General features: G+C 36.2%; 1 protein-coding gene across 2 annotated transcripts in view; it reads right to left on the reverse strand.

Annotated features, from left to right (window-relative positions):
- EDIL3 (EGF like repeats and discoidin domains 3) overlaps positions 1–18,693 on the reverse strand; it is a 444,327-nt gene that overhangs the window by 122,894 nt on the left and 302,740 nt on the right. For both annotated transcript variants that reach the window (NM_005711.5, NM_001278642.1), the window contains 2 exons: positions 3,004–3,159; positions 1,253–1,397 (listed from right to left, as the gene is read on the reverse strand). In NM_005711.5, the coding sequence (NP_005702.3) occupies positions 1,253–1,397; positions 3,004–3,159 (301 nt within the window). The remainder of the gene's footprint in view (positions 1–1,252; positions 1,398–3,003; positions 3,160–18,693) is intronic.

Raw genomic sequence — 18,693 nt, forward strand, 5'->3', positions numbered from 1 at the left:
AAGCAAATGTTGGTTGCTTCAAAAAATACACCAACATAGAATATGAAAATGTGATTCTTAAAATAGGCTCACTTGACTGTACAAATTACTTTAATTCTTAAAATGTATTGGGCTTATTAAAAATTGGCTATTTAATAGTAAATTTTATTTGCTTGAAAATCAATCCTTTTTTAGGCAACACAAATAAATTTAGGAAGAGAAACAGATATAAAGTATGCGCTTTAACCTATAGGCAACCTCTTGAAATGAATAAAAAGCTCACAGTTGTCTCTTTGCAGGGACTTGTTCTCCTATTTTTAATTAAGTGGTATTGTTTTAGATTTGGTAAAGGTTTTTCCTCACTTCAGGGTTACACTAAAAAGCGGAGCACACACGCACTTTTAGTTTTCTTCACAGTTATTTGAACAAAATAATTTCAGGCCACTGCAGCAAAGATAGTTTGTAAATTGTGATGCCAGAAATGTAAGAACAACTACCAAAAATATAACAAGTGAAATGCCTAGATACAATTTTCTATTTCATTCAGAATCTAGCTATATTGAAATGGGGCCACTGTAAGATTCACACATTAAGTCCTCATCTTTATAGCTAATATTGATGTTCCTGGGGGACAAGAATTATTTAACTCTGAGTCCTTTGATAGGTTATCCTTGAGTTGGATAACCACTATTTTTACAATAAACAGGTTGCTAGCTAAGAATGATCCAAGAATGAATTTATATTAGCAATCTTGGTATTGAAGTATTGAGGAATGAGAAATTAAATGTTTCATAAAACCTAAAAAAAAGTTCTTATGGTAGACAGACAAAGATAAAGTTCTTATGATAGATGGACAAAGATAAAGCTTACTTTTCTGTGTTACATAGCTTAACCTTTACTGCAATTTATGAGGTGGGACAGATTCCAGTTTTTACTAAACTTTTTGTCGGAAAACATAGATCACAGTTATTATGCAAAACAATGAGACACATTTAAAAGTGACAATTTTCCCGTGAGAATTCCCTGTGCTTTCTTTGACCACTCAACAAAACACATTACTCTTTCTACATTAATTCTACCCTGTAGCATGTTTTAGAACTTGTTTATTCTATACATAAACACACACTGGTTTTCCCTGAACCATGTTGTAGACATTTTTCCCCAGAAAAAAATTTCTATGGTTGTTGAATTTGTAGGTTAGTAACAGGCTACATACAAATATGCTTTTTGTTTTCTTTAAATAGAATACAGAAATAGTTAATTTGAGACTTACCCGACAGTTCACAGCCAAGAAGTTCCATTCGCAAAGTGCAATGTCTTCGACAAACTTGGGGATAGAGTCTTACATACTGAGCTTTTATGGGGGGTGTGAAAGAGTTAGCATATGGAGTGTTGTTATCAATGTTTCCACGAAACACCTGTGTAAAAACAGTTTAAAATTATTCACTGCAACAGCTTATTTACCTATTTTTACATATTTACCCTATCTATACCTTATCGAAAATAATTGTTCGAAGAACAGATTACATTATTTGGGAGCATGGAGCATTTGAGAAGTGCCTTGCCATGAGCACTGAATATAAAACCCAACCATAAACTCCTAATTAAAGCCATAAACCACTGTGGCTCATGACATGATCTATATTCCACTGTGATGGTCTTGTCAATTTTAAGGCCAGTCTTTCAGAACCAGGGCAGCGCTCTTCTCTTTTTTTGAGAAATGGACACCTTAAATCCTTCAATTTAATCTGGGACTGTCTGCTCATTTTCCTACTTAGTATTCATACTTTTGGGGGTAGAATCCAGTCTTTGCTACTGCTTCCGGATCATCCAGTCTCTCTAATGCTATGATTAGATTTATGATGCTTTAAGGTTTGACTCATGAAGATTATGTCTTCATCAACCAGTCCCATGTACTTGGATAATAGAATTCCTTATTAAAATTTCCAGCTAAAAACTATGTTTGCCTCTAAAATTCAAGTACTATAATGTGTCATTGTAAATTCATTAAGGCTTATTCTTATTTTACCTTTTATGTAAACCTGATAATCCAAAAACCTTATTTAAATTCATTTAAGGGGGTAATTTTAAAAATATTTTATATAATTTATTAGAGTCTGGTATAATGCCTGATTAAATGGAATGATCTCCAGTCCTGATATTTTTAAAATTAAAATTTTCGATGAAGAACTAACAAAAGAATTGAGAATATCATAAGAAAAGAAAAGGAAGTATTGAATATAATATTCAATACCTCTAAAATATTTTATTTTGCTAAGTAACAAATCTTTCTTCCAATATGAAGCATATAAAGATATATATCTCTTCTATCACTTAGTGCTTTTTTGCTTTTAAGAAAATAGTTTTCATTAATATAATAGTTATCTCATTAAGGAGTGCGTTAATCAGCCGGGCGCGGTGGCTCACGCCTGTAATCCCAGCACTTTGGGAGGCTGAGACCGGTGGATAAGGAGGTCAGGAGATCGAGATCATCCTGGCTAACACGGTGAAACCCCATCTCTACTAAAAATACAAAAAATTAGCCGGGCGTGGTGGTGGGCACCTGTAGTCCCAGCTACTCAGAAGGCTGAGGCAGGAGAATGGGGTGAACCTGGGAGGCAGAGTTTATAGTGAGCCGAGATCGCGCCACTGCACTCCAGCCTGGGCAACAGAGTGAGACTTTGTCTCAAAAAAAAAAAAAAAAAAAGTGCGTTAATCACGAAAGCAATAAAAATGTATCATTAAAATAAAGCTTAATTGTCATACAAAAGACTGTGTCCACCTGTGTCAAAGTATTTGTAGCACCACCAATTAAAATCTGTGAAAATCTTAAATGTCAGCCATTTTAAGTTTATAAACTGGAGAATTACTACTTCCTTCATCACACTAGCCCAATTAAAAACAAGACGCATTGGTAATTTATTTTCATCAACATAAGTCTTCTCCTGAAGACCTTGTCATTTGATAATCAATAATTATCAATGACATTTTTCTTTTAAATTAAGTAGGTTAAATTATTCTTACCATGTCTTCATTGGTGCCTTTCACTTTGTACATTGCCCAAGTCTTTCCATCATTACTGTAGGCAATTTTGTAGGATTTTATATACTCTGGGCTTCCAATCCTCTTGGCTCCTTGGGTAATCACACCAGTAACTCTCATTTTCCTTTGCAAATTTATCTGAAAAGACGAGCACAACCAACAATAATCTTATTGTTTTCAGGATAACAATACTGAAAATACGAATTTTAGAAATGAAACATTGTTAATGCAGATTAATAATAACATAAAAAGCTAATAATTTTCATGGATAAATGTTTACAATAGGCATATATTAAATTTAGCTTCAAAATCCCTTTCTGTAATGGAATACTATTTTTAAGTAAACAAATATTTGTGAACAGGCTTTGAAAAGGGCAATGTGCCCCAAAAACATAAGTATAGAAAGCATCTGCGTTCTCACGATATGCAGATGTAACTTAATAAACTGAAAACTTGGAATATTCTCTTGTCAAAATAATCTCAGTGTCATTACTATAAAACTCTATTGTCAACATAACTATTAATGTGTATAAACTGATTTAAGCTTCTAGAAATTTCCATTTACAATAAAACATGACAATTTCACTGAGATCTTTGAATACCAGAATTTTAAAAAGTAAAGACAAAAATGATGTCCAAACCAAAAACAAACAAGTATCCCTTAAGTTTCTGGATCTTTACACTGTAGTCTGTGGAGCATTTTTTAAAAAAATTAAATGATTGCTTTTTTCTTCATTTTATTATAAGTAAAATTTCTAACTGGAATTTTCTGTCTCCATATTTTCTCCCCATTCCAAATCCCTTTACAACAGTTTGCTTCAGGAGTAACATACATCAAATAAAATTGTTAATATTCTTCTCATGTTTAATAGAGATATCTTTTTGACACTTAACACTTAATAACTAAATCAAATGCTACAATGTAGAAAAGTGCCTTATTCATATATAGTAAACATTAAAATTTCACATATTGTAAACATTAAAATTAAAATGCCTTTATGATGTCTATAAAATCTTTTAAATGTTCTTGATAAATTGCTATAAATCACCCTCTCCAAAAATATAAATTGGAAAAATTTAAATATGTCATACCATAATATTAAGTTAATGATTCAGATATTATTTTCCAAAGAAAATCAGAAAATCTTCAGATTCATGTAAGTGATTAGAGTTTTCCACTGTAGGAGGAGACTTTGAGAGTTAGCATTTGAAATGGTCCACGGTGTGCATGATGAAAACTGCCACCCTATCGCCATTGTTTCTGAGTCTCCCAAAGTCTCATCTTCCCCGTTGAAACCTCATAAAATCCTTCCCTCAACTATTTCCCACAAGGTGATTCTCAGTCTTGTTCATATATAAAGAAAATCTGGAGTTTTGATGAGTACAATTTTTTGTGTTAAAATTCTGGGCCGATGGTCCCTTTTTTCCTTGAACAATGCTAAGTGGATGGACTCAGATATCCAAGTTAGGTTTTCTCATTTTGATGTTCAGACATCACACAACAACTATAACCATGAGTACATTTTAAGTCCCATTCCTCTTTGGAGGTTCAAAAAGACAATATCCCTCATGAATGTAAATTTTACTTACTACTCTTAATATTTATCTACATTTATCTCCATTAGTCCTTTAAAGATTGATTTTGGAGTTTTAACTATGCAACTTGAAAGAGGGAATGTTTGAAAGATGTTTACTTCAGTATGTTAGGTCAATTAGCACATCGCTATGAAAGAGTCATATTCTTTCATTATCTTATGCATGACATTTTCTTTTTTTTTAATCTGAGACTCTTTGTAGTTTAAACATTTCCAATACATACAATATGCACAGTGGACACTTTGAATCATGTTTTCTCCCATTTTGGAAGCCAAGTTTCACATCTGATGTTGCTGAACATTCCTTTTTCAATTATCTTTTATCTCATTTCAATTATCTTGTTTATACCTGTTGTAGACAGCCAAATTATCTTTGCTAGAGTTTTGGCTCATAAGCTATAGACACTAATTTTCTAAAGCTTTAATTGTAGATGCATAATAGTTTGTATTTTTCTCTAAATCATTAAAAATCATGTAAAAATTCTCTTTGCTCTAATATTTAGAAGCTCTGCATATATATTTTAGGAAGATGGAACTGCAGTTAGTTAAGCATCACCCAGTTTGGGTTGTGTCTAACTTTTAGTAGATATTTGTAATTAAATTTTGGCACTGTTTCCATTAAACACAAAATTAAAATGAAAAAATTTATAAAAATACAGGCTCAGGCTCACTAAGTTTTAGTAATTACAGGTTTTAAACTTTTGACTTTTCATGTATCTAGCACTATTAAGCTTGGAAAATAATTCAATATAAGGAAGCTAAGCTGTCACCATCATAGTCATACTCAAATTTAATACCAGTAAACTATGTTGCTATAGGAAATAAACTAAGTAAGCCTTGGAGGAAATATATAGTATGATTTTGGAAACACCTCCACTTACAAGTATCTGCAAGTAATTCCTTTCCATCCCATTCCAACATTATTTTGTGATATCTCTGTAAAATAACAATGGCTAAAAGGTGATCTTAATTTTATTCTCCCTGTATGAACTATCCCACATACTATGTAAAAGGTCTATTGAGGATTGCATCAGAAATGCCTAAATTATTCTCTATGAGCTTGGTGGATGCCTGAAAAGGAAATAAAATATTTTCATTTATGTATCTGATTTCAGAGAAATTGTTGTTCCACTGGGTGGTAGGAACACTGTGTATCCTTAAAAAGCAGAAGTGCATTCTAAGGTATTTTGAACAAATGGTAGCCTCCTACATTAATATAAATAGAATGATAATCTGAATCTAGAATGCTTAGAACATATGCTAAGGGTATGCAGAAGGGAGGAATGGACTAATGGGGGTTTCAGTCTTGGTTTTGTCACTTCCGACCTATATAATCTTGAACAATTTGTCTAAGCTTTTTGAAATTTAATTTCCTCCCTGTAAAGGAGGTTTTAATAAAATATGTGAATATTATATGATATGTGCATGTAAAACATTAACAACATCTGCCACCTAGAAAGCACTTAGAACATGTTTTTTATTTTAAGTTTTTGGTTTTTTTTTACATGAAAAAGAGCAAAAAAGCATTTTCTTTACATCTTCTGCCTTTAACCACTCAATGCCAGAAAATTTGGATTTTGAGAAGTGTATTATAAAAGCCGATAATCATAACGATATGGGGTGGCGACAGGGAAGTGCTGGGAGGAGAAGGGCAGGGACCCTGGCGAGCGTTCCACCCTCGGGCCTGTGCCCACGGATCTAGGTGAGGACAAACACTAGTGTTTTCATGCCCAAATGTTGCATTTTCCAAGAGCACCTGTCCCGCCACACCCCATCCTGTGCCTGTAAAAGCCCCCAGACCCTAGTGGGCACACACACAAGCAGCTGGGCACTGAGAGGAACAGACCAGCAGAAGAGCACACAGGTGGCTGGATGTGGAGAGGAGCAGAGGAGCAGAAGAGCACCACCGACAGGCACCGGTAGACGCCAGCAGGCCATCGACCCATGGAATGATGTGGATACCAAGGGGAATTTGGCCAGGACAGTTGGAGGAGAGTCCTGCCGCTGAGCAGCCCAACTCCAGAGGAAGACCACCTTCCCACTCCATACCCTCCTGGCTCCCCATCCACCTCACTGAGAGCTGCTTCCACCACTCAACAAAACCTTGCACTCATTCTCCAAGCCAACATGTGATCTGATTTTTCCGGTACACCAAGGCAAGAACCCCGGGATAGAGAAAGCCCTCTGTCCTTGTGACAAGGTAGAAGGTCTAATTGAGCTGATTAACATAAGCTGCCTACAGATGGCAAAACTAAAAGAGCACACTGTAACATGCCCGGTGGGGCTTCAGGAACTGTAAACGTTTACCCCTAGAAGCTGCTGTGGGGTCAGAGCCCACGCTCCCAATGACCTGCCCATCTGTCTCCTCCCCCTAAGGGTTTTGCACAGTGAGACACTGAAGAAGGGAGCCACATCCCATCACACACCTTGCAAGGGGGACAAGGGAACTTTTCCCGTTTCAATAACAAGCATATAAAGATAATTTTGCAAACAACTTTCAAAGCTATATACTAATAAGACATTTAGGGCTACTATGGTTAAGAGTGTGTGTGTGTGTGTGTGTGTGTGTGTGTGTGTGTGTGTGTTTAAATCTAATCATGAGTCTTACCATGGGGGGTGGGATTAATGGGTTCTTGACAAGACAGCAACTAGCATGGGCTACTGGTCCTCTCTACTGAATCCAGCACTTAAGATGCCCTGGAACAGAACATTGCTGAGCAGGCTTTGAAATTTATCGTACTTGAACACAAAAACTATGGTAAAGCCTTAGTGTAAGTGGAAATTTGAGATCCCAGTGTATGTTTGTGTAGCTGGGGTTTATTGAGGGTAACTCCAAGGGCTCATAAAGGTTATCAGGCTTGGGAAGAACTTTCTAAATGTTCTATTTCTCTTTCTCATTCTCATTTTGCTTATTGAGCTCTTTCTGATCTACCCAGTTCCAGCCCACTGCCAGTGAGAAGCAGTGGAAAAATGTGGGCCAGGCTTAGACAGGAGTCTGCAGGCACTAGCAGGCCTGAGTGTTGTACCCTCTGCCCTCCACATCACAGGTTATGGACTAAGGAGGTAAATCAGAGTGATGAGGTCCTGGTAAGAGCAGTGTCTAAGGCAGATGAAGTATTTTGTGGGAAAGGGGACTGTAGAGTCAGTACAGATTATAATTCTGCTATAAGGTATCCTCTCTACATCAACTCAATCCATTTGTAGTAGCTGAAGCTGGGACATGAATTTTACCCTTCCTTCTAGATACATCACTAGCTAAGGTATTAATAACAAATTCTCTAGGGAATGTAAGCACCATGATCAAAAGGAAAAAACAGAACTAATACTAGAATAAAATGTAGTCTAATGGAGAACAGATTCAGACTTTAAAATTCAAAAGAAATCCCTGAAAAGACGAAGATTTTCTGAAACATAAGACAGGAACAAGCATATAAATAAGAACCAATTGGTGATACTGGATAATTGGACATAAAAAGATAATTGTCTAAATAAAATTCCCAATGGAGTGGTTTCAATAGCAAAGAAGCAAAGAGACACAGCTGAAGAATATAAACTAGTAAGCAGCAAGACAGTGTTATAAAACCCTTTCCAGAAGGGAAGAGGATGGATTGCTGAGATTTCTCATATTGGGAGATGATGCAACTAACAATTTACTTTGAAAATTCTAGAGACGCAAGAAATAGTAAAAACTAATTTAAAAGTTCTGCAAGTTTGCTTAATAGAAGATCAACATATAACTATTCTACACCAGCAATTATCGACTGAAAATATAATCAAAATAGTGTGATACCGGCACACATGGAGACAGATGAATAGAACAGAATAGAAAACCAATAGACTCCAATATGCAGGAAACTTTTGTATATGAAATAAATAATATTTAAATGAGAGGAAAAAAGACAGAGTATTAAATAATTGGGACAATTTGATAGATTTCTCAAATAAATTTAGATCATTGCCTATCATCCTATCCCAAAATAAGTTCCACAAAATTATCAGAGGAAAACACAGAATTAAAAACAATCTCAGAGATAAAAAAATGGGTTTCTATTCATGACACTAGATTTAAAAATGTTATTAATTAAAGTAAAAATTTCTGCAAGATTAAAAGCAAAATAAATACAAATGACAAATGGGGATTAAACTTTTACAAATTATATCATAGCAAATGGTTGATCAATCAAAGATATTAGATTATACATATTGATAGATAAAACACAACTAACCCAATAGAAATGAGCAAAGGATTTGATTAGTAGCCATTAAAAGGAATGAATATGGATTTTAAACATATGAAAAGATAATCATATTCATAAAAAAGTAAATTAAATCTACACCAAGTAATCATAATTCACCTATCAAAAACAAAAATAAAAATGTTGGACTACACAATATTAGCAAGAATATGGAGAACTAGGCATGTTTATATCTATGAGACTATAAATGACATAGTTTTCATGTGATAGTGTAATGACATCATATTTATGAAAGACAATTTGGTTATATGTAACAATGACAAACACACATCCTCTTTAACTCAGCAATTCTATTTAAAAAATGTATCCTACAAGTATGAGTAAACTGATGTTGGCAAAAAGTTATTCCCTACAGCACTGTATATAATAAAACACAAATTCAAACAATTTAAAGTATCTATAAATAGGCATCTAAGTAATTTTATTATGAAAAAGTACAGAAAAGAAGATACTATTTACTTGTAAAACATAAGAACAAGAATGAAGGAGGAAGGGAGGGAGTAACAGAGGGGGTGAGAAAAGAATGGAGGGATGGTGGAGGGAGAGAGAGAGATCTTAGCATAATGCTGTGGAAAGAGTAGTAAGACTTCAGCAACAGGACAGTGTATTGCATACTCCCCAAAATTTTAAAAAGTAAACACTTTTATTACAAGAACACCACAGGTAAAGTTCACAGGAAGGTGACAATCTGGGAGAAGATATCTGCATGTCTAGATTTGACAGGGGCTGCTTCTTCTTCTTCTTCTTAAAAAGTAAACAGAACCAAAGACAAAAACCACATGATTATCTCAATAGATGCAGAAAAGGCCTTTGACAAAATTCAACAACTCTTCATGCTAAAAACTCTCAATAAATTAGGTATTGATGGGACGTATCTCAAAATAATAAGGGCTATCTATGACAAACCCACAGCCAATATCATACTGAATGGGCAAAAACTGGAAGCATTCCCTTTGAAAACAGGCACAAGACAAGGATGCCCTCTCTCACCACTCCTATTCAACATAGTGTTGGAAGTTCTGGCCAGGGCAATTAGGAAGGAGAAGGAAATAAAGTGTATTCAATTAGGAAAAGAGGAAGTCAAATTGTCCCTGTTTGCAGATGACATGATTGTATACCTAGAAAACCCCATTGTCTCAGCCCAAAATCTCCTTAAGCTGATAAGCAACTTCGGCAAAGTCTCAGGATACAAAATCAATGTACAAACATCACAAGCATTCTTAAACACCAACAACAGACAAAAAGAGAGCCAAATGATGAGTGAACTCCCATTCACAATTGCTTCAAAGAGAATAAAATACCTAGGAATCCAACTTACAAGGGATGTGAAGGACCTCTTCAAGGAGAACTACAAACCACTGCTCAATGAAATAAAAGAGGATACAAACAAATGGAAGAACATTCCATGCTCATGGGTAGGAAGAATCAATATCGTGAAAATGGCCATACTGCCCAAGGTAATTTATAGATTCAATGTCATCCCCATCAAGCTACCAATGACTTTCCTCACAGAATTGGAAAAAACTACTTTAAAGTTCATATGGAACCAAAAAAGAGCCTGCATTGCCAAGTCAATCCTAAGCCAAAAGAACAAAGCTGGAGGCATCACGCTACCTGACTTCAAACTATACTACAAGGCTACAGTAACCAAAACAGCATGGTACTGGTACCAAAACAGAGATCTAGATCAATGGAACAGAACAGAGCCCTCAGAAATAATGCCGCATATCTACAACTATCTGATCTTTGACAAACCTGAGAAAAACAAACAATGGGGAAAGGATTCCCTATTTAATAAATGGTGCTGGGAAAACTGGCTAGCCATATGTAGAAAGCGGAAACTGGATCCCTTCCTTACACCTTATACAAAAATTAATTCAAGACGGATTAAAGACTTAAATGTTAGACCTAAAACCATAAACACCCGAGAAGAAAACCTAGGCATTACCATTCAGGACATAGGCATGGGCAAGGACTTCATGTCTAAAACACCAAAAGCAATGGCAACAAAAGCCAAAATTGACAAATGGGATCTAATAAAACTAAAGAGCTTCTGCACAGCAAAAGAAACTACCATCAGAGTGAACATTCAACCCACAAAATGGGAGAAAATTTTCTCAACCTACTCATCTGACAAAGGGCTAATATCCAGAATCTACAATGAACTCAAACAAATTTACAAGAAAAAAACAAATAACCCCATCAAAAAGTGGGCAAAGGACATGAACAGACACTTCTCAAAAGAAGACATTTATGCAGCCAAAAGACACATGAAAAAATGCTCACCATCACTGGCCATCAGCGAAATGCAAATCAAAACCACAATGAGATACCATCTCACACCAGTTAGAATGGCAATCATTCAAAAGTCAGGAAACAACAGGTGCTGGAGAGGATGTGGAGAAATAGGAACACTTTTACACTGTTGGTGGGACGGTAAACTAGTTCAACCATTGTGGAAGTCAGTGTGGCGATTCCTCAGGGATCTAGAACTAGAAATACCATTTGACCCAGCCATCCCATTACTGGGTATATGCCCAAAGGACTATAAATCATGCTGCTATAAAGACACATGCACACGTATGTTTATTGCGGCACTATTCACAATAGCAAAGACTTGGAACCAACCCGAATGTCCAACAATGATAGACTGGATTAAGAAAATGTGGCACATATATACCATGGAATACTATGCAGCCATAAAAAATGATGAGCTCATGTTCTTTGTAGGGACATGGATGAAATTGGAAATTATCATTCTCAGCAAACTATCGCAAGGACAAAAGACCAAACACCGCATGTTCTCACTCATAGGTGGGAATTGAACAATAAGAACACATGGACACAGGAATGGGAGCATCACACTCTGGGTACTGTTGTGGGGTGGGGGGAGTGGGGAGGGATAGCATTAGGAGATATACCTAATGCTAAATGACGAGTTAATGGGTGCAGCACACCAGCATGGCACATGTATACATATGTAACTAACCTGCACATTGTGCACATGTACCCTAAAACTTAAAGTATAATAAAAATAAAAATAAAAAAGTAAACATTTTTATTACAAGAACATCACAGGTAAAGTTCACAGGAAGGTGATAATCTGGGGGAAGATATTTGCAACATCCAAATTTGACAGGGGCTTCTTCTTCTTCTTCTTCTTCTTATTATTTTGAGACGGAGTCTTCCTCTGTCACCCAGGCAGGAGTGCAATGGTGCAATCTCAGCTCACTGCAAACTCCGCCTCCCAGGTTCAAGCAATTCTCCTGCCTTAGCCTCTCGAATAGCTGGGATTCCAGGCGTGTGCCACCACTCCTGGCTAATTTTGTATTTTTAGTAGAGATGGAGTTTCTCCATGTTGGTCAGGCTTATCTCAAACTCTCAACCTCAGGTGATCTGCCCGTCTCGGCCTCCCAGAGTGCTGGGATTACAGGTGTGAGCCACTGTGCCCGGCCCACAGGGGCTTATTACTAAGTACACTAGTTCTCAACCATATGGTCTCGGTACTTTTTTAAACCTTGTACAAATTATCAAAAGCCCCAAAGTACAAACACGTGCAAAAGTGTGCACGCACACACACACACACACACACACACACAGACACACACTCACGTGCCATTGTGGGTTTTATATATATATATATATATATAAATATTTATCATATTAGAAATTAATACTGACAAATTAAAAATATATTAATTCACCTAAAAATGACAATAATGAACAGGTTAAATATTACCATTAACACTACATTTTTATGAAAATAATTATATTGTTCAAAAACAAACAAAAATTTACTAAGAAAGAGTTATTTTATATTTTATCAAATCTCTTTCAAATCTAGCTTAAGAGAAGACAGGTTCTCATATTTGTTTCTATATTCAATCTATTGCAATATGTTGTTTTGGTTGCAATATAGGAAGAAAATGTAGCTTCATACAAATATGCAGCTAGAAAAGAAGAGATGACTTAGCAACTTTTCCAGATAACTGTAGATATTCTTTGATACCATACCAAAACTTGAAAAGTTTGCTTTTTAAATTTTAACAAAAGTAGTTTGTTAAATTTTAGATGCTTTGTGGAATCTGAAATCTACCAATGAAGATTTTGTATTCCTTGTGTTAAAATCCATTGGTCTATTTTGCACTTTGAATGGATTTTTCACCCATGCATGGTTTTGTAACATTATACATTGGTCATTTGCAACATACTGGCTCACCGAGCTACGTAGATTTTCTAAGCGATGACACATTTCACTATATAATACAAAAACTTGCACTGATTAATATCACCACCAATTTCATCAGAAAAGTTTTTAATTATTGGAATGTATGAAACTCACATTGATAGTTACAAGTTTTCCAAAATTATAAATTTCACTTGAAATTTCCAATTTTATAACTAGCAACAAAGACTGTCAGCTGTTTTCATTGATGTGGCAGGATTGCTGTATTCATTTTCAAGACAATATCTGCCTGATACCCAGGTATGAATAACTATAGTTGGTCTGTCAGTTGTTCTTTGAAGTAAACATGATACAAAAAAGTAGGGGAAAGGAGTTGTTTACCTTGAAACTCACACAATCTTGCAAAGGCTTTTCCTGTAGACAATGGTCACATTTCAGTACTCAGCAAAAGTGCTTTATGCATAAACCCCTTTTCATCACACAGAATACTATAGACTTAAAAAGGATTGACATTTAATAAAATAATAGAATTAGTTATCATTACTGCTTCATCAAGGATGTTCTTAAATGAATTGGATACTCTCTTTTTTTACTCATAAGTGTGTAAAATAGAGATAAATACAATGATGACTAGTATAGTTTGATGCTATCGTCATGATTTGTGCCAAGGCACTAGCAGTTTTACTCACCACTGTTTGTGGCATCAGTACAAACGTTAACAGAGTAAAAGTGGCAAATATCGTCTTAGAAATATTATGAAAATTGTGTTGATTTGTGAATCTCCTGAATGAGTCTTTGGGATCCCCTGCTTCTTCAAGGGATATGTGAACTGCATTTTCAGGTGAGAATAACTGATCTAAAATATACAAGGGTGTATGAGTCCATTTTCATACTGCTATGAAGAAATACCTGAGACTGACTAATTATAAAGAAAAAGAGGTTTAATGGACTCACAGTTCCACATGGCTGGGGAGGGCTCACATGGCAGAAGGCGAAGGAGGGGCAAAGTCCCATCTTACATAGTAGCAGGCAAGAGAATGTATGCAGGGATCTGCCCTTTATAAAACCATCAGATCTCATGAAAGTTATCCACTATCATGAGAACAGCATGAGAACAGCATGGGAAAACCTGTCCCCATGATTCAATTACCTCCCACCGGGACCCTCCCCTGACACATGGGGATTATGGGAGCTACAATTCAAGATGAGATTTGGGTGGGGATCTAGCCAAATCATATCTAGCCAAATCATATCAAATCATATCTTCTCCCTTCTTTCTTCCTCTTCCCCTCCTCCTCCTCTTTCTTTTCTCTTCCACTTCTTCTTTTCTTCTTTCTTTTTCTTCCTCTTTTTTTTTTGCAAATCACATAGACACACACACAATGCAAAGAGATGAGGAAATCAATAGAAAATGGAGCAAATGATATTAAAGGTAACTCAGAGAAAATCTTCACTATTAAAGAAATGCAATTTTGTTAAAAAAAGATACAACAATTTACAGCCAACAGAATGGCAAAACAAAAATATCAAATAATATCAAGTATTGGTGAAGTATTCTGATGCTGATGATGGGAATGTAAACTAGCATAGCCATTTCTATCTGTTAGTTGTTAGTAAAATTAAGCAACCCTATTTCTGGGTATTTTTCCCTGAAAAACTTTTGCATAAGTGCTCAAGAAGAAATCCACACACATATCTATTGTAATAACTTTTATGTTAGCAAAGGAGAGCAGCTTAGGTGACTATCCCCAGAGGAATCGAATATTAAAATATAAAGTGTACCTGTGTGTATGTGTGTGTGTGTGAGCTCTCACACAATAAATATACTCTCTAAGAATCAGAAATGATGAACTGGGTTTTTATACGGATATCTAAAAAACATAAGAATATGTGAAAAAGAAACAAGATAATTAAATACACACAGTACCATGTATGTAAATTTAAAAACACACCTTATGATATAACATCATGTACTCTCCAATAATTGACTTCAAATCAACACAAAGAAGGTAGAATGAAAGGTTACACATCAGCTACTAGGTTGGGCTCACATAGAGGAAGAGGAATAGGAAGGAAGGTGGGAAGAGAATAACAATTTAATATTAAATGGCAAGATACCTTACCCAGACTGATGATAATAATGTGCCTTGAAATAGGGAGGTGAAGTCTTACATCAGTGCTGGCAGGTGAGATCTGAAGTGGGGGAAAAATCATTGGTTTCTCCTTTACTTCTCTATTCTCAAGGAAAATGACTTAAGTATGGCCATATTATGCAATAGCACAGTTACCTACAAAAGTGATAGGAATGTTGAATACAGAGGTCCTAAATCCATTGGAATTTTTTGGGTGATAGAAACCTCTTTTGTTCTAATGTGGTGACTCTTGATAGGCTCCTGAATAGCCTTGGGATGAGAGTGGTGGCCAAGGGAACCAATCAGGTGATTGGAGGGTTGGAACTTCAGCCCCACCCCTGCCCCGTCCTCTAGGAAGAGGAGAGGGACTGAAGGTTGAGTTCACCATTACTGGCCAATGATTTCATCAATCAGGCCTAAATAATGAAACTTCTATAAAACCTCCAAAGAACAGGTTTCAGACAGCTTTCGGGTTGCTGAATACACAGAGGATCCTGTAGGGTGTCACATCAGAGAGGGCAAGGAAGTTCCTCTTCTCTTCTCCCATATCTCACCCTATGCTTCTCATCTGCTTGTTCATCTGTATCCTTTGTAATATCCTTTATAATAAACAAGTAAATGTGTTTCCCTGAGTTCTGTGAGGCATCCTAGCAAATTATTTGAACCCAGTGAGGGTGTAGTGGGAACCCCAATTCAGATGCAATTAGCGTCTGAAGTCTCGTGGAACTGTCTTGAGGAAGTCTTGTGGGACTGGGCCTTTAACCTATGGCGTGTGCAGTAACTGGGGTTAGTGTAAGAGTGTGCAGTAACTGTAGAATACTCAGTCAGTGTCCACTGAATAACTGGTTGTTGGTGGGGAGAATCACCGTTTTGTGACCAGAAGTAAAGTGTTAAGTGAAAGAGTAGGAAATTTTTTTTTTTCTATCTCAAACAAGTATGTTTTCAACTGGTCACAGTGAAAACAATTCTCCTACTAGGGCTTTTGCTTGGGAGCTGGCAATACAAATGTGTCTCAGGCAAAAAGAACAGGTAACCATCTGTTTTGGGTGATACCAGAAATAACTTGAGCTTCCCAGACAGTTCTAAATAGACTTCCAATGATTTGGATTGCAAATATGTCACTTAAGGGATTTAAAAAAATAAACAGACAAGCATGATCACCTAAAGTTTCCAGTTAAAAAGCACAGTTAAAAAAGTTACAGGGATTTGCAACTCCCCTGTTCTTTCACATTATCTTATTAATATAAAGTATTTTATCAAATGCATCATTAACACATTCTGTGAAGGCTTGGGTGGTGAGAAGCATCATGAACACACCTAAGGAGGAAGGCTTTGGAGGTGTTTAAGGATAAAAAGAGTAACTCTGGTTCACGCCTGTAATCCCAGCACTTTGGGAGGCCGAGGCGGGCGGATCATGAGGTCAGGAGATCGAGAACATCCTGGCTAACACGGTGAAACCCCGTCTCTACTAAAAATACAAAAAAAAAAAAAAAAAAAAAAAAAAAAAAAATAGCCCGGCGTGGTGGCGGGCGCCTGTAGTCCCAGCTACTCGGTGGGCTGAGGCAGGAGAATGGCGTGAACCTGGGAGGCGGAGCTTGAAGTGAGCCGAGATCGCGCTGCCACTACACTCCAGCCTGGGTGACAGAGCGAGACTCTGTCTCAAAAAAAAAAAAAAAAAATTAACTCAAATATAACTAGTCCTAGTGGCTACAGTAGAGTCTCTCTTAAACCACCTCCAAATCAGCAACAACCTGAGCACTGACACTCTTCACTGCCGCTGTGAAACATAATTGCTGCTCTACACATCTGGCACTTTGGGCTGTTCTCTGCTAAGCCAACTCTCTTCTGTTCTTGCAGATTAATTGCACGCTCATCAAGGGTCATTTGTGTTTGTTCCCCAATCTGTTTTCTTTTCAAGTTGTGATTGTTATTCTACTTATGTAATCTAATTAAACACAATTGATAAAATGTGACTGGAAAAGAAAAGGTTTTTTTCTATAAAAACATGAAAAAGCTTTCTGAAAAACCTCAAAAAGGCATAGTACTAAAGAGTCTATAATATTGGGATAATTAATTGATATCTAGGATTCTATACTTGAATAACTTCACCAATATGTTTAAACAATGAAATAAAAAGAAGTATCAATTATAAATTTCTTGACGTAGTTTATCTAAGAAACATAGTATGGAATTTAAATGCTTTTTTATTTTAATCAAGGTTTTTAGTAACTAACCAAACACTAGTTCTGATGCTCCAGATAAAAGGACCTTTAAACTATCCTCCATGTTCTGAATGCTGGTTAGCCTTTGACATGTGTTCAATTAACTTAATTGTCCTCTTTGAATAACCATGGGAAAAGAACACATATGCATAAACATAAAACTATAATCTCTTTATGATTCTCTGCACCTGGTAAAACTTCCAATTAAAGTGAAACACCCCATTCATTACACAGCATGTAACAGGAGCAATACACCACCAGGGGTGAAAGCTGTTGGCATTTCCAGGAGTCGGGGCCAGGTATAACCATTTCATCTGAATTTCCACCTGTTTCTGAAGGGCTTCCACTATATTGTACTCATCTCTCCTCTCTTGGTACCAGCTGTTAGAGTTTCTTCACATCCTCCATCACCCACAGCTACACATTCAGGAGTGAACTGAACTGGGGCTACATGGTTTTGAAAACTACAGCTTGTATATCAAGTTTGATGAAATTGTAAATATTAAGGTAGTCTCGAACTCTTGTAAATAAAGATAAAGTTGAAGAAGAAACAAGAGGAATAAAAAGAGCAAACGATGTCAGCACATGAGTAGAAATGCTAATCCCAATAAAAACCACATTAGAAACAATGAAATTAAGGTCACTTTGCTAATGAATATTTTTGAAAGAAGCCAGAGTGTTACCAAAAAGAAAAAAAAAAGTCTTTAATGCACAATCTCAGGGGCAGTAAGTGTGCTATGAAGGGGAGAGGGAAGAGGAATGCTGTGTGCGAGGCTTGACTTTCTTACATTTCTATAGGTGGCTCATGCCAATAAGCATTGGCTCTTTAGTTGTTGTGAAATGGGCTGTACAAAAGCAAACAGCAAAATAATCACCACAAACCTGTTCAACCAAAAGAAAAAAAAACAGAAAAATAATTGCTGTTGAAACATTTTAAGGAGTTTATTAGTTAAAAACTTTTTAACAGAGAGATGGGGAGGTGCATTACTTCTAAGAGCTGACCCAGGCATGATGGACAAGAATCTCACCACAGGGTCCATATGAATGCTCTCCTTGGCATTTGCCATCACACTGAGTGGATTTCAAACTGAGTACAGTGCTGAGTGAATAAGAAAGAAAAATAAAAATGGAATATCCAATTACTTTAAGTATGTCCTAACCGAAAACAGAATTCTCTGATAATCATATCTCCATCCAGCATGGCAAAAGGTTAGCAGGCAGATGAGAATGGATTGCCAGTTATGGCCCCTGATTTTTCTTAATCCAGTATATTATTTGCAG

The sequence above is a fragment of the Homo sapiens genome, chromosome 5 (genome assembly GCF_000001405.40).
Source record: "Homo sapiens chromosome 5, GRCh38.p14 Primary Assembly".
NCBI classification, from domain to species: domain Eukaryota; kingdom Metazoa; phylum Chordata; class Mammalia; order Primates; family Hominidae; genus Homo; species Homo sapiens.